The sequence below is a fragment of the Homo sapiens genome, chromosome 6 (genome assembly GCF_000001405.40).
Source record: "Homo sapiens chromosome 6, GRCh38.p14 Primary Assembly".
In the NCBI taxonomy this organism is placed as follows: domain Eukaryota; kingdom Metazoa; phylum Chordata; class Mammalia; order Primates; family Hominidae; genus Homo; species Homo sapiens.
In genome coordinates, this window is record NC_000006.12 from 46,219,017 (window position 1) to 46,243,482 (window position 24,466).

The following is a 24,466-nucleotide window of genomic DNA, read 5'->3' on the forward strand; positions in this document are numbered from 1 at the left end:
GCTTCCACATGAGAGGGTTCCTCTCAGGCAGTACCATTCAAAAGGTAGCCACTGTACTGTGACAGGTCCCCCAACAGGTTACCGAAGGGTATAAGTCTGTTGCCTGAACTCTGAGGGCCGGACAGTGAGCCAAGACCCTGGTGCCGAGCTGAGGAGCAGGTGTCCCTGAGAAGCCAAACCTCCCAGAGAGTTTCTGAGGAACTACCAAGAAAAACAGTCTCATTGTTCAAACACGTAGGCAAAGAGCCAGGAAATTAGCTTAAAAGCAGTTTATGGATGGGAGGTGGGGCAGATCTCCAGAGCTATCCTGCCGCCATCCCAGAGTGCCCCGTATGTAAGTCCTAATAAACTCATCTACTCCTCATGCTGGACTTAGGTCTGAGTCCTTCTTTGGACTCTTAGCACTTTTTTTAGTTTGGGGGTGGTGTTGGGGGACCTTACAGTCCTAAGTGTTTTCATAATAGCCACTATTATTTCTATTTATATAGGCCAGTTTTGACTTTCTTAGCTTGCTAAAAGGAGTCATATACTATGTATTTTTTTCATGTCTAGTTTTTCTTTTTTGCTCAAAATATGATTTTGCGATCTATTCATGTTCATATATGTACCACTAGTTTATGTGTCTTATTGCTTTGTGACATTCCTTTGTGTGAGGATAGCACAGTTTATTCTATAGTTGAAGGACATTTGGGCTGTATCCAGTTAATGGCTATGATGAACAACTTTGCTAGGGACATTATTGTACAAGTATTTTGATAGATGTGTGCACTTGTATCTGCTAGGTGCATGCCCTGGAGTGAATTGCTCCCAGAGGCATGTTAGCTTTAGCAGATATTACCAAACAGTGCTGTGAAGTGAGCACCAGTTGACACTCCACCAGTGGTGCATGACAGTTCCCCTTCCTTCATATCCTTACCAGAACTTTTTATTTCTCCAGACTTAATTTTAGTCATTCTGATAGATCTGTGTAGTAGCTCTGAGATTATCATTTGCTTTTGTCAGATAAGCAATAAAATTGAGCATCTTTTGAATGCTAATGGGTCATCTGGGTATTTTGTGTATGTCTGTGTGTATGTGAATTGCCTGTATGAAGTGCCTTTGAAATTTTTTGATGATCAAAGAAATGGATTGTCTGTTTTCCTTATTTGTAGGGTTTTCTTTTTACATTTTGGATATAATTTATTTTACAACTACATGTGTCTCAAATATCCTTTTCCAGTCTGATGCTGTCCCTTTTCATTCTCCTAATACCCATCTGATGAACAGAAGCTCTTCATTTTAATGGCATTTAATGTATTAATCATTTAGATTATGATAGTGCTTTTCTCCTGAATAATAATTTTTTTGCTAACTCAGGTCTCTTATAGTGCTTTTAACAAGAGAATAGAGTGGGAAGACATTAAAAGAGGTTTTTAGTACACTTGAAATGGCTTTTAGGACCAAGATGTTGAAACATGGCAATAAAACAGGGAGCTCTCCCAGTTCCTCTTATCAGAGGCCAACCCTGCCCTCCAGGCCCTGCTCAAATTCCCCTTCCCCCAAGAGAGGGCTGCCAACCAGCTTCCCCCACTTTCAGGAAGAGCCTAGGTATATGGGTTAACCCCATACGTTGGGGACTTCTTAGAAAAACTCTAGGTTGAAATGCAGTCCCCCACAATTACCCCTCAAGAATATTCAACTCAGGTCGACAACACAGAAATTAAACCACATGGACAAAGAGTCATTCACCAGATATATTTGAAGTCTAAGCTCTTTGAGCTATACACGTGCACAAATGATTCAGTTGGTGGAAATCTTCCCCTTCCCCTTCATTGTTAAAGTTTTCAAACTTAAAATAGTGCTAAAGAGATTTGCATAATGTGCGTCATGGAAATGCTGAGGCGATTCTGACTTTCACAGTGCTAGGAGGTTCCCTTGCAACACTTCAAGGAGTCTTTCCATTTCTTATCGTTCTCCTAGGAAAAGCCCCTCTTTTCCCCCCTCCCCAAACCCAACCTAGTGAAAGAATTACTTGATCTGAGACAGGTTAACATTGACACAGAGCAATAAGTTTTACTAAGACTAACTCCAGAGGCCATACACTTCATTGTGTTTCTTTTATGACTACACAGAATGGTCATTTCAACTTTTACTAAGTTGTTAAAAATGTCAGATGTGTCTTTTAAAAAACATTTAAAAATCATTTTCAAATACTTTCTCTCATCTAGATTTCTTTAGAACCTGCATTCTGGAAATTCAGGGTAGCTTAAAAAATCAAGTCAAATGACCCACAGATGATTGAGAAGAGTCAGCTTTGAAAGGCTGGATGCTGCAGTGCTCTGCATCTGAATAGCGGAGCCTACTATTTCTTCCACTAGAGGACACCATTTCTCCACTACTAAGTCTGTAGTCGTTTATCATCAATGAAAAACCAAAAACCTCCACAGCAAAGGAAAGTCAAAGCATATGCTTATTGTACACTCCTCAGATTTTATTTTTAAAAGGAGTTTTCATTTTCCTTATGGAAACTCAGGATTTTACAAGCAATGCTCTCCTCAGTTTCACCAGTACTGTGTCCAGTACTATATTGCTATATTCACAGTAAAACGGACTTTAATTTCTGAGTGATCAGTCTATGTTTTAAGTTTCTGATGAAACTAACATACACCTTAGTCAAAAACCACAACAATCCCTCAATCTGTTTGCTGTGTTATTGTTCTTGTGTGTTTTTCTGAGGCTTGGGTAATGAAAGTACTTCCCCACTCCATTGTAATCTGCGTTTGCATCTAAAGTAATTCATTAATGTACAGGAGTAGATGAGGCCTGGCACACATAGCAGAAGGTAATGGTTCTATAGGTGTATCTTCTGTAATGCACTTTGGGCTAGAGAAATAGAAAAATCACACGTAACAAAAACAAATAACTTTTTTGAGCACACGGGTGTCGCGTGAGTAGGACCGGCATACATGTAGCTATCATCCTTCCCCATTTTAACATGCTCAGCTGCTGCTGCATTCTGGGGATTTAGCTTCATCCCAATAATCTACAACTGACACTTGCATCTTTATTTAAAAACAAGTGGTCTTGATAGCAAAGATGTTGGCTAATCATGTATATATTGGCATTAGATGTTTTGTGTCCTTTCAAAATTCAGCATTATCCTTATTAGAGTGTAATATTATCAGAGTATCTGTATTAGTATATGAAGGCATTCATAAGCAATGCACATTATGTTTTGAAGCAGCTAATTGTCGAACAATCACTAAATAAAAAACATCCAGATTTTTTAAAAGCACAGCTGAAACATTTGTACAAATATACAAAGAGAGAAAACAATCATTCAGACACCATGAAACTTTTGTAATAAATAGGTTTGTCTGAAATCAGTCTCTATCACCCTGGACAAGCCTCCCCAACGAGGCTGGGAGAGTTCTACAGGGGAGTGGTGTTTGAAATCTATTGAGGAATATCTTTGGGGCCAAGGTCAATTTTGCCTCCAGGAATTTCAACAGAGCTATGGTGTATTGACTCACAATAGTGAATATACCCAGACTTGTTGAGCTGGAATATTCTGATCATTTTCCTAATCTAGATAGGACATGGCTGGATGCTGACAATCTGTGAGTTATAAGATATCCTCAAATAATGAAAATAAATGCTGGTGATCATGCATGTCCTGGGAATGTTGGGATGCAGAGGACTGAGTGAGACCAGATAGGGATATCTCATGCAGTCAAAGTCAAGTTTACATATGGTCCTATTTAAGTGGCCAGGAGAGAACAACGCACACACATCAGGACTGGGACTGAAACAGCTCACAAACAACACAGGTGCTATTTGTTACTGATGTCTCTGGCTTGGATCAACATGAGAGAACAAAGATATAGGCTGTGCTGATTGTTTAATAAGAAAATACTACTTTTTTCCCTAGAACCTTCTAAATAATGGGTTATACTTAATGGGTATGATATGATCAGGAGACATATCACCTTTTCCTAGCCCTTTTGTCCGAGAGGCTTGATAACAAGGAAGGAATCTCAAACAACCAAACACCCAGGAATTTAAAGGCAATTTTTTTTGACAAACAACAGGGGGAAAAAGCATGATAAAGAGGAGACGGCTATTATCGAGAAGGAGCAGGCAGCTCAGTTGGACACGGAGGGTGGCAGGCCAGGACGCCGAGTTTGGATGATTTTTGGCTTTGGGGAAGTCTTTGGGTCCTCTTCTTCCTCTATGTCACTGTCGCACACGTGCACGACGACACTTGGGGTGGACTCAGTCCCTGCATGGAGCTCATACTTCTCTCCTGAAAAGCAAGAAAAATGGAAGTGAGAAAGAGGGGGGGATTTCAAAAGAGATCCTGGAGCAGGGTCTGCTTAGGAAATGACAGGAGCATTTTCCAGGGTCTCAGGAAGCCTGTGATCTTATGCAGGGATGGCACAGGGTGTTGGCAAGTGGAAAGAGATCAATTTCCTCCTATCCTGGCTCTGCCACTTATCAACTGTGCAACCCCAAACAAGCCACTCAATACCTCTTAGCCTCCACATCCTTTACCGTAAATTTCAACATGGTAATACTTCCACTCTGTAGGATGGTGGCGAGGACTGGATGGACTTGGCAGTTAGTCGTATTAGTTTCTCTTCTATTTTCCAACTTTGCTGCTAGTTTTTGAGCAACCTTGGGCCAATCACTTCACTTCTTTATCTTTTGAATATGGTAGTTTCTGAGTTCCCCTCCAGCTCTACACTTCTTACAGCCAGAGCTGCTCCAGGATGGAATAAGGTGGGGTTATCACATGCCCAGGATTCAGTGGTTACTGGGTAACTGGGTTAGATGACCATCAAGGCCCTTTCTAGTTCCAAGTGTCTACATTCTTGACTGGCTCATATTACAGTCAAATGGCTGTTAGCTGACTGGCTTTCTGTCTTTCTGTTGCTTCATTAGATGTTTCTTGAGCATCTCTCGTGGTCTATTGCTGTTCATAAAGGCTACAAGGTAGAATAAAAAGTATTTGTGCCTTTCACAAGTGCACAGTCCAGTGGAGACATGTGGAGACAGAACATATCACAATATAAAATGGTGAGCACTATGGTGGCAATGTATGTTAAGGACTATGGCATCAAATGGTAAGTAACTCTGAAAGGCTTCCTAGTGGACTGGCAGCTGATCTGGGTCTAAAAGACAAGCGGAAGGACTCCAGGTGGTGGGGTAAGAGGAGGGGGTATTCTCAACCTGCATGCTTGTAACTTTTCAACTTCATTGTTGACATACTAATCTTAATCCTCTCCGGACATCCCATCCTTCACTTCCCATCTTTCATGGATCAAAAGATAAATCTTCCAAAAACAATAACTCCCAGATATCCTCCTGGTTAGTGGCTCTCTAGATCTCACAAGATCAAGTATAAATTTTGTAGTCTAGCACAGAAGACCCTGCGTAATCTCTCACCAATCTTTTCCATCACTACCTGCATCAGTTCCTTCTTTGTTTTGGTCAAACTGGTTTATCTGTTGGCCCCTAATCATGACAGCTACATTCTTAGGGCCACCAAAATAGCTACTTTTACTTCGCATAGCCTCACTTCCCCTCCAGAGTTCCCTAAATCCTGACCTTCTTCCAGGATCAAAGCTAGACCCGATGCAGCCCAGGAATCTGCTATTCTCAGTCTAAGTGCCTCCACTGGATGGCTGGAGCAAGTATTGTCAGTTCCAGTGACAGGGCACTAATTATGTGCTACTGTGCACATCTTGGTAAGCCTTAATGGTGCAAATAGCAAACTTTCACAAGGTACAGTTTTTTTTTTTTTATTATACTTTAACTTCTAGGGTACATGTGCACAATGTGCAGGTTTGTTACATATGTATACATGTGCCATGTTGGTGTGCTACACCTGTTAACTCGTCATTTACATATCTCCTAATGCTATCCCTCCCCCCCTTCCCCCACCCCATGACAGGCCCCAGTGTGTGATGTTCCCCACCCTGTGTCCAAGTGTTCTCATTGTTCAATTCCCACCTATGAGTGAGAATATGTGGTGTTTGGCTTTCTGTCCTTGTGATAGTTTGCTGAGAATGATGGTTTCCAGCTTCATCCGTGTCCCTACAAAGGACATGAACTCATCCTTTTTTATGGCTGCATAGTATTCCATGGTGCATATGTGCCACCTTTTCTTAATCCAGTCTATCATTGATGGACATTTGGGTTGGTTCCAAGTCTTTGCTATTGTGAATAGTGCCACAATAAACATATGTGTGCATGTGTCTTTATAGCAGCATGATTTATAATCCTTTGGGTATATACCCAGTAATGGGATGGCTGGGTCAAATGGTATTTCTAGTTCTAGATCCTTGAGGAATTGCCACACTGTCTTCCACAAAGGCTGAACTAGTTTACAGTCCCACCAACAGTGTAAAAGTGTTCCTATTTCTCCACATCCTCTCCAGCACCTGTTGTTTCCTGACTTTTTAATGATCACCATTCTAACTGGTGTGAGATGGTATTTCATTGTGGTTTTGATTTGCATTTCTCTGATGGCCAGTGATGATGAGCACTTTTTCATGTGTCTGTTGGCTGCATAAATGTCATCTTTTGAGAAGTGTCTGTTCATATAATTTTCCCACTTTTTGATGGGGTTGTTTGATTTTTTTTCTTGTAAATTTGTTTAAGTTCTTTGTAGATTCTGGATATTAGCCCTTTGTCACATGGGTAGATTGTAAAAATTTTCTCCCAATCTGTAGGTTGCCTGCTCACTCTGATGGTAGTTTCTTTTGCTGTGCAGAAGCTCTTTAGTTTAATTAGATCCCATTTGTCAATTTTGGCTTTTGTTGCCATTGCTTCTGGTGTTTCAGTCATGAAGTCCTTGCCCATGCCTATGTCCTGAATGGTATTGCCTAGGTTTTCTTCTAGGGTTTTTATGGTTTTAGGTCTAACATTTAAGTCTTTAATCCATCTTGAATTAATTTGTGTATAAAGTAGGAGGAAGGGATCCAGTTTCACCTTTCTACATATGGCTAGCCAGTTTTCTCAGCACCATTTATTAAATAGGGAATCCTTTCCCCATTGCTTGTTTTTGTCAGGTTTGTCAAGGATCAGATGGTTGTAGATATGTGGTATTGTTTCTGAGGGCTCTGTTCTGTTCCATTGGTCTATATCTCCATTTTGGTACCAGTACCGTGCTATTTTGGTTACTGTAGACTTGTAGTATAGTTTGAAGTCAGGTAGCGTGATGCCTCCAGGTTTGTTCTTTTGGCTTAGGATTGTCTTGGCAATGTGAGCTCTTTTTTCGTTCCATATGAACTTTAAAGTAGTTTTTCCAGTTCTGTGAAGAAAGTCCTTGGTAGCTTGATGGGGATGGCATCGAATCTATAAATTACCTTGGGCAGTATGGCCATTTTCATGATATTGATTCTTCCTATCCATGAGCATGGAATGTTCTTCCATTTGTTTGTGTCCTTTTTTATTTCATTGAGCAGTGGTTTGTAGTTCTTCTTGAAGAGGTCCTTCACATCCCTTCTAAGTTGAATTCCTAGGTATTTTATTCTCTTTGAAGAAATTGTGAATGGGAGTTTACTCATGATTTGGCTCTCTGTTTGTTGGTTATTGGTGTATATGAATGCTTGTGATTTTTGCACATTGATTTTGTATCCTGAGACTTTGCTGAAGTTGCTTATCAGCTTAAGGGGATTTTGGGCTGAGATGATGGGGTTTTCTAAATATACAATCATGTCATCTGGAAACAGAGACAATTTGACTTCCTCTTTTCCTAATTGAATACCCTTTATTTCTTTCTCCTGCCTGATTGCCCTAGCCAGAACTTCCAACACTATGTTGAATAGGAGTGGTGAGAGAGGGCATCCCTGTCTTGTGCCAGTTTTCAAAGGGAATGCTTCCAGTTTTTGCCCATTCAGTATGATATTAGCTGTGGGTTTGTCATAAATAACTCTTATTACTTTTGAGATATGTTCCATCAATACCTAATTTATTGAGAGTTTTTAGCATGAAGGGCTGTTGAATTTTGTCAAAGGCCTTTTCTGCATCTATTGAGATAATCATGTGGTTTTTGTCTTTGGTTCTATTTATATGATGGATTATGTTTATTGATTTGCACATGTTGAACCAGCCTTGCATCTCAGGGATGAAGCCCACTTGATCATGGTGGATAAGCTTTTTGATGTGCTGCTGGATTCGGTTTGCCACTATTTAATTGAGGATTTTTGCATTGATGTTCATCAGGGATATTGGTCTAAAATTCTCTTTTTTCGTTGTGTCTCTGCCAGGCTTTGGTATCAGGATGATGCTGGCCTCATAAAATTAGTTAGGGAGGATTCCTCTTTTTCTATTACTGGAATAATTTCAGAAGGAATGGTACCAGCTTTTCCTTGTACCTCTGGTAGAATTTGGCTGTGAATACATCTGGTTCTGGACTTTTTTTGGTTCGTAGGCTATCAATTATTGCCTCAATTTCAGAGCCTGTTATTGGTCTATTCAGGGATTCAACTTCTTTCTGTTTAAGTCTTGGGAGGGTGTATGTGTCCAGGAATTTATCCATATCTTCTAGATTTTCTAGTTTATTTGCGTAGAGTGTTTATAGTATTCTCTGATGGTAGTTTGTATTTCTGTGGGAATGGTTGTGATATCCCCTTTATCATATTTATTGCATCTATTTGATTCTTCTCTCTTTTCTTCTTTATTAGTCTTGCTAGTGGTCTATCAATTTTGTTGATCTTTTCAAAAAACCAGATCCCGGATTCATTAATTTTTTGAAGGGTTTTTTTGTGTCCCTATCTCCTTCAGTTCTGCTCTGATCTTAGCCTTCTGCTAGCTTTTGAATGTGTTTGCTCTTGCTTGTCTAATTCTTTTAATTGTGATGTTAGGGTGTCAATTTTAGATCTTTCCTGCTTTCTCTTGTGGGCATTTAGTGCTATAAATTTCCCTCTACACACTGCTTTAAATGTGTCCCAGAGATTCTGGTATGTTGTGTCTTTGTTCTCATTGGTTTCAAAGAACATCTTTGTTTCTGCCTTCATTTCCTTATGTACCCAGTAATCATTCAGGAGCAGGTTGATCAGTTTCCATGAAGTTGAGTGGTTTTTGGTCAGTTTCTTAATCCTGAATTCTAGTTTGATTGCACTGTGGTCTGAGAGACAGTTTGTTATAATTTCTGTTCTTTTACATTTGCTGAGGAGTGCCTTACTTCCAACTATGTGGTCAATTTTAGAATAAGTGCAATGTGGTGCTGAGAAGAATGTATATTCTGTTGATTTGGGGTGGAGAGTTCTGTAGATGTCTATTAGGTCTGCTTGGTGCAGAGCTGAATTCTATTCCTGGATATCCTTGTTAACTTTCTCTCTCGTTGATCTGTCTAATGTTGACAGTGGGGTGTTAAAGTCTCTCATTATTATTGTGTGGGAGTCTAAGTCTCTTTTAGGTCTGTAAGGACTTGCTTTATGAATCTGGGTGCTCCTGTATTGGGTGCATATATATTTAGGATAGTTAGCTCTTCTTGTTGAATTGATCCCTTTACCATTATGTAATGGCCTTCTTTGTATCTTTTGGTCTTTGTTGGTTTAAAGTCTGTTTTATCAGAGACTAGGATTGCAACCCCTGCTTTTTTTTTGTTTTCTATTTGCTTGGTAGATCTTCCTCCATCTCTTTATTTTGAGCCTATGTGTGTCTCCGCACGTGAGATGGGTCTCCTGAATACAGCACACTGATGGGTCTTGACTCTTTATCCAATTTGCCAGTCTGTGTCTTTTAATTGGAGCATTTAGCCCATTTACATTTAACATTGTTATGTGTGAATTTGATCCTGTCATTATGATGTTAGCTGGTTATTTTGTTCATTAGTTGATGCAGTTTCTTCCTAGCATCGATGGTCTTTACAGTTTGGCATGTTTTTGCAGTGGCTGGTACCAGTTGTTCCTTTCCATGTTTAGTGCTTCCTTCAGGAGCTCTTTTAGGGCAGGCCTGGTGATGACAAAATCTCTCAGCATTTGCTTGTCTGTAAAGTATTTTATTTCTCCTTCACTTATGAAGCTTAGTTTGGCTGGATATGAAATTCTGGGTTGAAAATTCTTCTCTTTAAGAATGTTGAATATTGGCGCCCACTCTCTTCTGGCTTGTAGAGTTTCTGCTGAGAGATCAGCTGTTAGTCTGGTGGGCTTTCCTTTGTGGGTAACCTGACCTTTCTTTCTTGCTGCCCTTAACATTTTTTCCTTCATTTCAACTTTGGAGAATCTGACAATTATGTTTCTTGGAGTTGCTCTTCTCATGGAGTATCTTTGTGGCGTTCTCTGTATTTCCTGAATTTGAATGTTGGCCTGACTTGCTAGGTTGGGGAAGTTCTCCTGGCTGATATCCTGAAGAGTGTTTTCCAACTTGGTTCCATTCTCCCCGTCACTTTCAGGCACACCAATCAGATGTAGATTTGGTCTTTTCACATAGTCGCTTATTTCTTGGAGGCTTGTTCATTTCTTTTTATTCTTTTTTCTCTAAACTTCTCTTCTCGCTTCATTTCATTCATTTGATCTTCAATCACTGATACCCTTTCTTCCACCTGATCAAATTGGCTACTGAAGCTTTTGTATGCATCACATAGTTCTCTTGCCATGGTTTTCAGCTCCATCAGGTCATTTAACGTCTTCTCTATGCTGTTTATTCTAGTTAGCCATTTGTCTAATCTTTTTTCAAGGTTTTTAGCTTCTTTGTGATGGGTTCGAACTTCCTCCTTTAGCTTGGAGAAGTTTGTTCTTACCAATCATCTGAAGCCTTCTTCTCTCAACTCGTCAAAGTCATTCTCCATCCAGCTTTGTTCCATTGCTGGTGAGGAGCTGCGTTCCTTTGGAGGAGAAGAGGTGCTCTGATTTTTAGAATTTTCAGCTTTTCTGCTCTGGTTTCTCCCCATCTTTGTGGTTTTATCTACCTTTGGTCTTTGATGATGGTAACGTACAGATGGGGTTTTGGTGTGGAGGTCCTTTCTGTTTGTTAGTTTTCCTTCTAACAGTCAGGACCCTCAGCTGCAGGTCTGTTGGAGTTTGCTGGAGGTCCACTCCAGACCCTGTTTGCCTGGGTATCACCAGCGGAGGCTGCAGAACAACAAATATTGCAGAGCGGCAAATGTTGCTGCCTGATCCTTCCTCTGGAAGCTTCGTCTCAGAGGGGCACCTGGCTGTATGAGGTGTCAGTTGGCCCCTACTTGGAGGTGTCTCCCAGTTAGGCTACTCAGGGGTCAGGGAACCACTTGAGGAGGCAGTCTCCATACTCAGATCTCCAACTCCGTGCTTGGAGAACCACTACTGTCTTCAATGCTGTCAGACAGGGATGTGCAAGTCTGAAGAAGTTTCTGCTGCCTTTTGTTCAGCTATGCCCTACCCCCAGAGGTGGAGTCTACAGAGGCAGGCAGGCCTCCTTGAGCTGCAGTGGGCTCCACCCAGTTTGAGCTTCCTGGCTGCTTTGTTTATCTACTCAAGCCTCAGCAATGGTGGATGCCCCTCCTCACAGCCTCCCTGCCACCTTGCAGTTTGATCTCAGACTGCTGTGCTAGCAGTGAGTGAGGCTCCATGGGCATGGCACCCTCCAAGCCAGGCACAGGATATAATCTCCTGGTGTGCCGTTTGCTAAGACCATTGGAAAAGCACAGTATTAGGGTGGGAGTGACCCGACTTTCCAGGTACCATCTGTCACGGCTTCCCTTGGCTAGGAAAGGGAATTCCCCAACCCCTAGTGCTTCCTGGGTGAGGTGATGCCCCACCCTGCTCTGTGGGCTGCACCCACTGTCCAACAAGCCCCAGTGAGATGAACCTGGTACCTCAGTTGGAAATGCAGAAATCACCCATCTTCTGCATCACTCACGCTGGGAGCTGTAGACTGGAGCTCTTCCTATCCGGCCATCTTGGAACCTCTCTCCAAGGTACAGTTTTAAATTCTGGGTGCTGACGTTAGGGAATGAGGAACACTGATAATGCAATAAATATCGAAGCCCTTCTAAGTGATGCTGGGAAGGATGTAGACATTCAGAGTCAGCCATTGTTATTGGTTGAATTGAGTCCCCTCAAAAGATGTTGAGGTCCTAACTAACCTCTAGTAGCTGTGAAAGTAACTTTATTTGGACCTAAGGTCTTTGCAGATGATCAAATTAAGATGAGGTCATTAGGGTGGGCTCTACATCAATACGACTAGCACCCTTATAGAAAAAGGAAGTTTGGACATTGACATATACATAGGGAGAATGCCATGTGAAGACTGAGGTTATGCAGCCATAAGCCAAGGAACTACCCAAAGCTACGACAGGCCAGGAACAGATCCTTTCCTGACACCTTCAGAGACAGCATGGTCCTGTGTACACCTTGACTTGAACTTCTAACTTCCAGAACGGTGAGTCTATAAATTTTTGTCATAAATGCCACTCGGTTTGTGGCATTTTTTTTTTTTTTTGAGTCAGAGTCCTGCTCTGCTGCCCAGGCTGGAGTGCAGTGGTGTGATCTCAGCTCACTGCAACCTCTGCCTCCTGGGTTCAAGCAATTCTCTTGCCTCAGCCTCCCTAGTAGCTGGGATTACAGGTGCACGCCACCGTGCCTGGCTAATTTTTGTATTTTTAGTAGAGACGGAGTTTCACCATGTTGGTCAGGCTGGTCTCGAACTCCTGATCTCAGGTGATCCACCCGCCTTGGCCTCCCAAAGTGCTGGGATTACAGGTGTGAGCCACCACGCCCGGAGGTTTGTTGCATTTTGTTATGGCAACCCTAGCAAACGAACACAGCCATACCCTGCTGAGAGTGTGCTCATTCAGTTAAGAGTCAGAGAAGTCTGTATTAGGCACCTCTTGCCCTTGACATCCTGCTGTGTAGAGTAAAGGCTTTCCTGGGTGAGGGCAGCAAATATTTCACAGAAATAGAGTGTTACAACTCCAGCATTTCCCTGGATATTGATAGTACAGAGAAATAGAACCAGCCACAGCCATTGAAGTATGGCTGATATGACTCTGTATTTAAAGTCTAGAAGTGGTGAAATCATAGGCAGGGAGAACTGCATCAACAAGCATTGAATCTCTGATACAAGCAAGCTGATGTGGCCCAGTCTGATACAGAAGAAGACAGTGACAGGAGCAGGGATACAGGGGAGACCCAGGAAGGAGATGACTGCCTGATCACTTTGCTATCCTGCCCTGCGGAGCAAGAATTGATAGTTGGCACTAACCCAGCACGCTGTAATCCATGGGGAAGTTGCAAACTACGCATATGCGGTATAGTGCTGTATGTATCGATGCTAAGTAAGGTTCACTTAATTGTGTGGGTTCTGTTCTCTCTAAAATATTTTGGCATTTTAATCCATGTCCCCGGGTAAACAGATAATCTGCAGACATTGCTAAGGAGAGAAATCTACAACAAACCAGCTTTATCTGAGGGTTGTATCAAAGGCTCTGGGTCAGAGTGGGCAGCTCTGGTTGGGGGTGTCTCTAAGCAGTGGTTCTTAAACACTGACAATTAACTGGGAGTGCTCATTAAAAAAAGAGTTTAGGTCGGGCGTGGTGTCTCATGCCTGTAATGCCAGCACTTTGGGAGGCTGAGGTGGGCAGGTCACTTGAGGTTGGAAGTTCAAGACCAGCCTGGTCAACATGGGGAAACCCCCACCTCTACTAAAAATACAAAAATTAGCTGGGCATGGTGGTGCATGCCTGAAGTCCCAGCTACTGCGGAGGCTGAGGCATGAGAATCACTTAAACCCAGGAAGTGGTAGTTGCAGTGAGCTGAGGTCATGCCACTGCACTCCAGCCTGGGCCACACAGCAAGACTGTCTCAAAAAAAAAAAAAAAAAAAAAGAGTTTACCAGTATAGGGAAGCAAACCTGCAAATTCCGATTTAGTAGAATCTACATGTGTACCCATCAGCCCTAAGTGCTTCTCAGTGCTTCTGTGTTTGGGTGGTGACGGTTACATGGAACTCCCAGCAAGAGGCTGTGGCCCCATGAGGATACTGGCACACACACAATGTGCCCCCTCCCTTCCTCCATTCTACATATTTTTTTGCTGGAAAATGGTAAATGGTAACAGTGCAGGTAGAGGATAATGGAGGGATGGAAGCTGAGAATGCATAAAGGAAAGGAGGTAAGGAATCCTGGATGGCTTCTCTGGCGCTCCCAGCCACCAGCTCCCGTTCATCTTTGGTGTTCTCATTGTTGTTCAGGAGAGAACATCAAGTCACTCAAAGTTCCACGGTGAACAATGATTGAGTTAACCGCATCCAGGGTTTCTCAAATTTTGTCTTTCCTTCAGGAACTTCTTGCAATGCTGAATGAAAGACACCATCCAAAGAGAGACAGAGAAAGAAATGTTTGCTGAGTCATCAAATATGGTGGTGATTCTTGTTTTTATGTATAGAATTTTTTTTTAAGTTCTTACATTTGCAGGGGAAGCCCCTTTTGAAGAAACACTGGTGGCCACTGTAGTTTCATTCATTGCTCTGTGGATGGGGAGTGCATTGAGGAAAGGGGGATGGCCTCTGTCATCCTCAAATGAGGAATAGAAAGGAATCTGCAGCAGAGACCCAGAACCTGGGGTTGAGATGAGGGCAAGGCTCAGGCCAGAGAATTCGGAGATCTCAGACACCCTTCCCCTTTTTCCATCTGTTAGCAAGAAGCTGGCCATTTTAAAGAAATTGTAATAAAATACACCTAACAAAGCTAGGCCTTTGATTAAACCTTTTTTCCCTGGCTGAGATGAAGAACACTTCTTTTTTTTTTTTTTTTTTCTTGAGATGGTGTTTTGCTCTTGTTGCCCAGGCTGGAGAGTGCAATGGCACGATCTTGGCTCACCGCAACCTCTGCCTCCTGGGTTCAAACGATTCTCCTGCCTCAGCCTCTCGAGTAGCTGGGATTACAGGCACCTACGATCACACCCGGCTAATTTTTTGTATTTTTAGTAGAGACGGGGTTTCACCATATTGGCCAGACTGGTCTTGAACTCCTGACCTCAGGTAATCCACCTGCCTCAGCCTCCCAAAGTGCTGAGATTACAGGCGTGAGCCACCGTGCCCGGCCTGAAGACACTTCTTTTGCAATGCATTTACCACTTTAGAAGTGGTTGCTTTCCTCTCAGAATAGGTGTGTTGGGGGAACACTCAGAATGGGAGGGCAAGCAGGGAGTCCACTCTGTGTGCAGGGTGCAAAGCAACTTCCACATCAACTTAATACCATCAGATTGCTCAGTAGTAGAGACATTTTATTGCTGTGATCCCATTAACTCTGACATTGCACTGTTCTATTCTTGGACACTTTCTTACTATCGAAAGCCAGCAAAGCTTAACAGCTGCTGAGAACCACAAAATAAAAAGAAATAGCTTTGGTCTTGTTGGATTGAATTTTTCTTTTTTTGGCCTCTTTTTCCCTTTGGGCTTCAACTATTTCCTCTACCACAAGGGCTGACGTCAATGCTGTCACCAGGCACATGGACCAACTGGGCTTGTCTGGGGACAGAGAGTCTGTCAAATCTTACCCACACAGGGTGGGAGGTCCCACCATGGTGCAGTGAGAACAGACCAATGGAACCAGCATTTCTCTGAAAAGACAAGCAGAGGGTTGACCCATCACATGCTCACTCCTCTGCCAGTATTGAAACTGTCCTCTCCTTTGTGTGCAGAAAGGAGGCCAGGACCAAAAGTCACCAACAAGTGCATTGGTCAGGGTTTTCTACCTATTCCATGAAACAAACTTTCAGCCAATTAAATGAAAAACCTTTTAGCACATGGTTAACGTTAAATTCTCATTCAGGCCTTTGAAACTGACTGAGGTTTGGCCATTGCTTAAATTAGATGCCAAAGTTCTGTCTCGTCTTTTCCCAAGTGGCTGGAGACAGGTTTGTGACAATGTCCCAATTCCTCTATGACTGGAGGAGGGAGTGAGGGTGCCCATGGGCTGTTTCCCATTCTCAGGAGGGAGGAGGGTGAGTCCCTGTGCTGACTAGGGGCTGGGAAACTTGGTGACATGGTACAACCTCACTTGCCACAATTGCAGAGAAATGTGTTGGTGGCTGGCAGTCCAAGTGCCACTGAGTTTCTCTCTCATGCCACCTTGGCTTACGGGCCATGACTTGGCCACCTCTTAAATTCTTTCTAAAATAATCAGTATGATTATGCAAAGTTTATAAAAATCAGCAAAATTCAGACAAGGTAAAGGTAGAGAGATGAAACAGAGCTACATGTCTATGTATTAGAGAAGCTTTTGAGATTCATTATTTAGATTCCTAATAAGAAAAACTCTATGATGGAAGGAAGGGGAAATCTTCCTATAAGTTTAGTGCCTGCTGGACAAAGTCTTTGTATGTGTACTGCCAAGCAATAGATAGAATCCCAGAACTAGAGGCTTTGAAAATACAGCCACATCTAACAGGCAAGGCCAAGCTTTGCTCTGCTCAGCACCTGCTGCCCTTCTTTCCAGGACATTCTTTCTCTTGCTCATCATGAGCCCCAGTTCCTGCCCTATGAGGAGCTACATATCCAGGCCTGATCTCACACATGCATCCTGACTTACTGACGTCTCTCTACAAGTTGACTACTCTTTTCCAAACTCACATGTCTAAAGTAGAATTATTTTCTCTGCCAATCTAGGTTCCGTTACCAGCTATCACGCTTCTTAGAATTGCCATCATTCTTCCAGCCTTCTAGGTGCAAATCCTTAGAGTCAGTCATCCTTGAATTTTCTCTCTCTTTCATCATTTGTAATCAGTCACCAAGCACTATTGAACATTGCTTGTCAAACCTTCTCTGCATGCTCCTTCCCTACACACCCCTTGTTATAACCCTATCCATGACTAACCCTCCCACCCAAAATACTCTTTGCTGGTTTCCCCACGACAGGAACTAACTTCCGTGCCAGAATAAGCCACCTAAGACAACAGTTGGAGAGATCACCTTATCACATATGAGTAATGTGACTCTGAGAAAGTTATATAACATTTCTGAATCTCAGTTTTCCTCATCAATGAGAACAACACTCATATCACTGGGATACTAGGAAACAGACATATGTGTCAAATACTTGATAAAGCCCTCTCCCAAGATGCATGCTATGATTATTTAGGGCGATATTATTTTGGCCACTGTTGCCCCCAAGTAATTTCTGGTTTCCAGTATGATTAACTAATCTGATTACATCACACAATAGTCAAAGAATTAAGCAGCTGAACAATTGCAAAGAGCTTTTCCTCAGTGGAGACACCATTGCAAAGAGCAGTAAGGGGTGAACGATAACAGGCTGCATCCCACGGTAGTGGGTATCATATAATCTGGTCTTCAAAATGAACCTATCCTTTTTCCTCCAACCACCACTTCCCCTTTCTCTGTCATCACTGGCAATTTTCTCTCCTTTTTTTCCTCTTTCCTAACCTTTTCTATACCTCTATTTCCATGAGACAGAAAATCTTATGTTGCCGTTTTAATGAGATCTCTGATTTTCTTTTTTTTTTTTTGAGATAGAAACACCCATTTATAATGCTTAATTATATCACCTTTGATATTATTCATTAGTTATTTCCTCTAGCAATGTGTTATATTCCAAACCACTGAAGTCAAGACTTAACCTTTTGTGACTGCTGCAGCTTAAGGTACACATTAGTGTTCAATGAATATGTGATTGATTTATGAAGAGCATCACGCTTGGTCATTACTAACATACTTGAGTGATGTCTGGTATGTACTCACACGTGAATATTCTTCCTATAGTTTAACTTGTGTAAGTTTTAGCTTTTCAACTAAGTGGAAAACCATTTAAAGGCAAGCATCTATCCTCTTATCAGCATTCTATCAGTGCTAGCACACAGTAGGTGTCATAGAAACTCACTACATTCCCTAAACATAATAACAATTGCTTATGGAGCACTTACTAAATGCCAGGCACAGGAAAGTCTGTAACTACTTGGCATGAAATAGATCTTTAATTATAACAACAGCTCTGTCATGTGGGTTTCATAATATCTAGTTATACAACAGTAAGTTGAGATCACACAGGTAGTAAATGGCAGAGCCAGGATTTAAACTCAGGCTTGCCTGACTTCAAAGAATGTGTTCATAGCCCCTCTCTGTCCCTAACTCTCATACTTCCCACTGTTTACATATTCTACAAGCGACTCTACTGAAAGGGAGCCTAGTTTTGTCTTTCACTTTTAATACATTTTCATGGCAACTCATATTTTTAGTGAATATTTGTTCTCTAGCTAAAGATGGATCATGTATTCCTTCTGAACCTTGCCTTGTTTTGTTTTGGCCATTGATAGTTATTCTAGGCATGGTCTCTTTGACAATGAATCTCCTCAAAAGACAACACAATAAATTATGAAAAGAAGAGACTATAAATTATAAACTGAGTTAATCTGCATCTCTTAGGGAAGGAAGTTTTGGACTCTGGAAGAAGATCCTCTACATTCTCATTTTAAAACTGTACTATCTCTCATATTACGGGTGAATTCTCAACAGGAAAGTTATTTGTGGTAGCAGGTTGTGTTTTCCAAAGATGGTCATAATGTTTCCCACCCCACATACTCTCCTGTAACCTTGACAATGTTCCATTAAGGAGTGTTCCCTCTGTGTTCTCTCCCTTCAATCCTGGGCAGGCTTTAATGATTGTCTTGACAAATATAGTACAGGTTGTTGTGTATCGCTAATCCCAAAATATCCAAAATCCAAAACACTTCTGGCCCCAAGCATTTTGGATAAGGGATCCTCAACCTATGTGGTGGAAGTAAGCAGTGTGACTTCTGAATTAGGTAACAAATATGCTATGCGCTTCTACTTTGCTCTTGCAGAATGCTCATGCTTGGAACCCTATGTCCAAGTTGTAAGGAAGCCCAAGCAGCCCATAAAGAGGCCCACGTTAAGAAGAACCAGGACCCACAGTCTAAGTGAACTCTCAGCTAATAGCACCATTTTGCCAACCATGTGAGTGAACCATCTTCATAGTTGACTTGCCAGCCCCCAGTTGTGCTGCCCCAGAAACATTGCATGGAACAGATGACCCTTCCCCCTGAGCCTGGCCCAAATGGCAGATTTGTGAACAAAATAAATGACTGTTGTCTTAAGCCCTAGATTTTTGGGATAGTTTGTTATGTGGCAATTGATAAATGGACATGGGCCATGCAAATTCTCATTGTTCTTGTCTTCCCCTAGTTTTCTAAAGGGAAGGAAAAAAAGTGTGTGTGTGTCTGGGAAGGCATAGAGGAGTGAGGAAAGCTGGGAGGCAGGGGCTGCTCCTCTATACATCTCACCTCTTCCACTCTTCTTTCTGCACACATCGCCGACCCCTTACTAGGCGTTCTCTGCCTCTATGCCTGTGACAACTCTTTGTCACATTCAAGAAAGTATAATTAGTGTGGTTCTCACATAAGAATGTTAAACCCCTAATGGTGTCTGGAAATGGATTTTTTTTTGTCATATGGTGTGGGTGGATGTTGGCATTTAGTAGGTGAGACCCAAGGATGCTAAATGTACTGCAATGTGTAGGACTGTCAACTCCAAAATATCATAGCTTTCACATTGAGCAGCACTGAGCTAAGAGCTTAACACAGGCATTTAAATTATTTTTTTATTGAGACAGGAACTCACTTTGCTCTGTCACCTAGGCTGGAGTCCAGGGGCAGGATCACAGCTCACTGCAGCTTTGACCTCTTGGCTCAAGTGATCCACCTCTGTCTCCTGAGTGGCTGGCACCACAGATGTGCACCACCACACCCAGATAATCTTATTTTTTATTTTTTGTAGAGACAGGGGCCTCATTACATTGCCTAGGCTGGTCTCAAACTCCTAGGCTCAACTGATCCTCCTGCCTTAGCCTCCCAAAGACTGGGATTTATAGGGGTGAGCCACCACACTCAGTGACACATTTTAATAGAAGGCTAATATATGGTTTGAAAATCAAGTGATAATAAATAGTTAACATACACTGAGCCTTTCCTATGTATGATACTGGATATACAGTTTTATATGGATTATCTCATTTGATGCTTGCCACAAACTGATTTTACTATTGAAGAAGCAGAGGCACAGAGAAGTTAAGAAACTTCCTCAAGGTCACAGAGCTAATAAAATGTGGAGGCTAGAAGCCTAGATTCAAACTCACATCCTATGTTTCAATCATCATCCTGAGGCAAGAGAAAAGCCTCTCTTCATGTTGGATCTCCATTTACAGCTATAAAATAAAAGGAGATATTCTGGGTGCAGAGAGACTTATTGGAAACATAAAAATCATAGCTATTTGGTAGCTGCCTATTCACAAGCTCAATCTGGGAGCAGAGAAAGAACTTATCTTCTAAGTGGAAGTGGAAAGAGGATTTGGGATTAAAAGACAGAGTCCAGGGAATTCAGTCCTTTGTAACCTTTTTTCTCTCTGATTCTTTTGTGTTTCCATGAGCTCCTATTGAACTTTGGTGGATCCCAGAGAAAAGTGGTGAACTCCAATCCAGGTCTGCTGAGCGACCAGCGTAACCGCCTTACTACTTCCTAGATTTAGGCATGCACGAGGTTGGGATGCTGCAGGTGGCATCAGGGCTGTAAACTGACATTCTGCCTCAGTAGGCCTTGTATGTGTGCATTTTAAGAAAATATTGATGAAATAATTGGGGTTCTCTTTCCTTTCCTCCCCCTCCTCAGTTCTGATCCATATCAAAGTAGGAAATAAGAAGGGGTCCTTGGTAAGATGGGGAAGGGGGAGGATGAGAGTGAGCAAGAGAGCAAGGGAAAGAAAGAAGACAAAGAGCATACTCTGTAGTTTTGGTATAAGGGGAGCTATATATATTTCAGTATAAGAACATTTGCTTATCTTCTGGAGGTTTCTCTCTAATACTAGATTGGGAATGGGGAGATTTATCTTCAACCCTTCCTGAGACATTTAGGACCCAAAGTACTTTATGGGATCAACTGATTGACTGAGGACCTGAATTAATGGTTGAGAAAAAGAAGCAGAATCCCGGAGGGAAGGTATAGGCAAAGAAAACTAAGGGAACCACAGAGGGGAAAGAGGTGGGAAGATAAAGAGGGAGAGCGACCAGAGTAAAGGGGCTCCTCCACATGGGGTGAGAGGAAAGTGGCGGAGATGAAGAAAGGGGGAGCTGCCTGGGAGAGCCCTCTGTGAGCTGGGTCCTCCCTGGGAATGAAACATCCTGTTCTCCCTTGCCCCATATTAGGGGCCCAGCCTCCACAACAACTGTGAGGACACACAAATGCACACACACACATACCTATAAGAAAAAATGCAAGGGTAAACACTACAATGATTCTTCCTTAAAGTACTTTTTTTTATAGGCAGTAGGATTTGTTATTCATATTTTCCCATTTTTTGGTCATATGTCTTCTGTTTTTCTACAATGTACACAGTTTACCTGTAAATTTAGAAAAGGAAGTATTTTAATATTGCTACTCCATAGTGATGGAAGATAGATTAATGGAATATATGCTGGGAAGAAAAGCCTCTGAAAAAACCTTTTTTTTCCAGGGACAATTCTTTCAAAGGCAATGGGAAAATTTGAACATGTGCTCCAGGATCCCAATCTGAGTCCCTTATGTGGGGTATGACACAGAGAGACTGTGCTAATGGGAACACTGGACACTCACTGTTTTACTTGCCTATTGTTTTTGTGATCAGAGAATACAGCAATTGCTGAATGAGAATCGAGGCCTTATATAATATTCATACCACATGCACCAAAAACATAGGTGTTCATCTATATTTTAAAAACTGAATTTTTTTCTACCTCTGAATCAGAGCCTGGAATAGAAAATGTTTCTTTAGTATAGGTTACATTAGTTAATGGAATATCTTTTCCCATTGGGGAAAACACCATACCAAGCAGTAACACCAGCAAAATTGCCTTACTATGTCATGTTTTGATACAGAAGAATTTGGAAAAAAATCTAAATATAGCAGACACATGCAACTTGAAACTCAAGCACCATTTTAAAAACCCTTCTCTGCAGTTAACTAAAATTGATCTTCCTAACAAGAGCTAAAAATAGCAGGAGGAAAAAAAAGAAGAGACAATGACTTTTCATATCGCTCCCTGCAGGCATTTTCAGTGACAATGAACATGACCTTCCAGAGCCATCTTAGAGAGCAGAATAAAGGCTGGCATTTTGCTTCCCACCTCTGATTTCCTGTCTAGTTAGTGCCACGTGCGTCTCTATTTTACCATTTTCTGCTGATTGGTGGAGATAAGCTATTTTGCCAGGCTGGGTTTTTATTTTCTCCTATTTTGTTTTACATCAGAAAAGAACCTGGCACTGTACTGCTTCTGGAGTCAGGAACAACAGATATTTCAAAATAAATATTCAACTCATAATTCTCCTCAAGGTCAGAGCCCATCTTATTCTGTCTAGGTCACTGTTAAACTGATGGGCTTCTACACATTCCCCAAGGGACTAATAGAAACACACAAGGATTGTGTTTTATAGAGACAATAACTGCCCCTTAAACAGAGGAAGGCAAATTTTGATCTGCACGTCCTGCTGGACACAAGAAAAAAGCATGAAATGTACCGTAAAGAATTGATGCAGTAGTGTGTTTTAGTGGGTGCCAAAAAGTAGAGAAATAAAATGTGAGGGAACGAAAGGCATAAGTTGTTTTGTATTCTTAAATTTCTCCTTTACAGCAATCTTAAATTTCTTCTAGAGAAAAATGTTTCACTTCCCAGGGCAAGGGTGCTGGCTCAACCAATCTTTTACTCTTCTTGCCAGTGGCAGAGGACATATTTTAATTTAGTAGCTGTGTCGCCTTGGGCAAGTTACTTAACCACTCTGTGCCTCACATTCCCCAGCTGTATAATTGAGGACAATAATAATACCTGTTATTGTCTGTGAACATTAAATAATATTGTAAGGTATTTAGAACAGTGCCTGGCACATAGTAAGTAATTTATCTTCATCCCCACATAATTTTAAGTCATTTTTATTTATTTATTTTCTAATGTATAATACCTATTTTACTTACTCTCTGGATCAAAGATAGAATGGTCATGGGGACAATGATTAAGGATGTTTAAAATTATGCCTCTCATAATTTTCGGAATATAAACTTGCTCTTGGTATAATAAAGGGAACTGAGAGACACTTCTTGAATATAACGTGGCCCTCGTCTCCTGTCGCAACATCTTAAATATTTCAAAGGATTTCAATAGGCACCCACAGGTTTGGGTCTGATCATGGTTCCATTATAACTGCACTGCTTTCTTTATGTTTGTTTCTAGGACCACTCTAGAAGTTTTCAGGAATTGGACTTGTCCCTCTCTGAGAGGTCACCAATATTCCTCCTTAAAGAACTACAGACTGTTTTGCCCCTTGCTTGTCTGAGATGAGGCCTGGATCCCCACTGTTTCATTTGTTCTCCATGAAAGGGTCCTAATAAACTGTGTCATTGCCTCTGGGGGCAGCCAGTCAGTTGACTTAGCCCGAGTCCCATCTCACTCTGGATCCCTGCTCCATAACGTTCTTTCTTTAGACTGACTTTTTCCCAGCAGCTTTAAATGTCTACATACCTTCTCAATCACTCTGCTCTACCAATTAAACACTGTTCATCATTCCTCTAATGCAAAACTCCATTCCTTTGATCATTTGAGTTGCTTTCCTCTGCTCCCATTCTAATTTGTTTCTGTACTTCTGGAACTGAGGTAGTCATTCTTTAACATGCAATTAGTTATAATTTGTTACTGAAATGATTCTGCCAAAGGATTAAAACTAAATTTTACTAAATCACTTTTTTAAAAATGAAAATGCTAGAAGTCCTCTAATTATAGAAAACATTAATTTAATGCTTCCCGACTGAGTCTGGCTAAAGCTATAAGAAAGCAACAATTTGTCAGTAAAGAAACTATCTCTAGGCAGGCTAATAGCTCTGGTCTATTCCTTCGTTCATTCACACATTCATTCCTCCAATGTTTATTGAGCATCCACTATGTGCCAGGTAGTTTCAGGTACTGGGAATACCAAAATGAATGAAACATGCATTCTTTCCCTCAGTAAGAAGTGAAGATAGTAAGTTGAATGATAGAAAATTACCATAAGGAAAAGTGAATATTTGTGCAAAGTGACAGGAGGAGACTGAAGGAGCAACCTCTTGCCTTGGCACCTGGTTGGGAAGGGGGCAGAGACGCGATGTGGGGGAGGATGCCATGGGGAGGAGGAAGGGTGTGGCCCTGCTCCCTGATTGTTGCAGCTGAAACAACCTTTAATTTAACGTCTGATATTTTCAACTCAATTGTTGGACGCAAATCATGCATGTGTGTGGCTGAGGAAGCTTCAAGGACATAGAAAAGGGATAAATGGATAACCAAATAAAGACAAACAGTCCCAAATTGCTGGCAAGGAATGGAGAGAAACATATCCTAGAAAATACATCCAGATTGCAGCTGTTCCATGGACACAATATCAGTCATACTTAAAAATCAGGAAACTCTCAATATTTGCTCTTGTACCAAATGCACAAGTCTCCATTTGCACATTTACCAGACACTAGGTTA

General features: G+C 41.6%; 1 protein-coding gene and 1 long non-coding RNA gene across 7 annotated transcripts in view; one reads left to right on the top strand and one right to left on the bottom strand.

Moving 5' to 3' along the window:
• The window catches only part of LOC105375079 (uncharacterized), a 48,136-nt gene continuing 23,958 nt past the window's right edge, over positions 289-24,466 (top strand). The window contains exons 1-2 of one of the 2 annotated variants that reach the window (XR_001743802.3): positions 289-334; positions 18,770-18,902. This is a non-coding gene — a long non-coding RNA (uncharacterized LOC105375079). Of the gene's footprint in view, positions 335-18,769; positions 19,043-24,466 lie in introns of those variants that run through there. The other variant, XR_001743800.2, reaches the window with a different exon arrangement.
• RCAN2 (regulator of calcineurin 2) overlaps positions 1,720-24,466 on the bottom strand; it is a 271,235-nt gene continuing 248,488 nt past the window's right edge. For all 5 annotated transcript variants that reach the window (NM_001251973.2, XM_024446301.2, NM_001251974.2 and 2 more), the window contains one exon: positions 1,720-4,285. In NM_001251973.2, the coding sequence (NP_001238902.1) occupies positions 4,125-4,285 (161 nt within the window). In that variant the 3' untranslated portion in view covers positions 1,720-4,124. The remainder of the gene's footprint in view (positions 4,286-24,466) is intronic.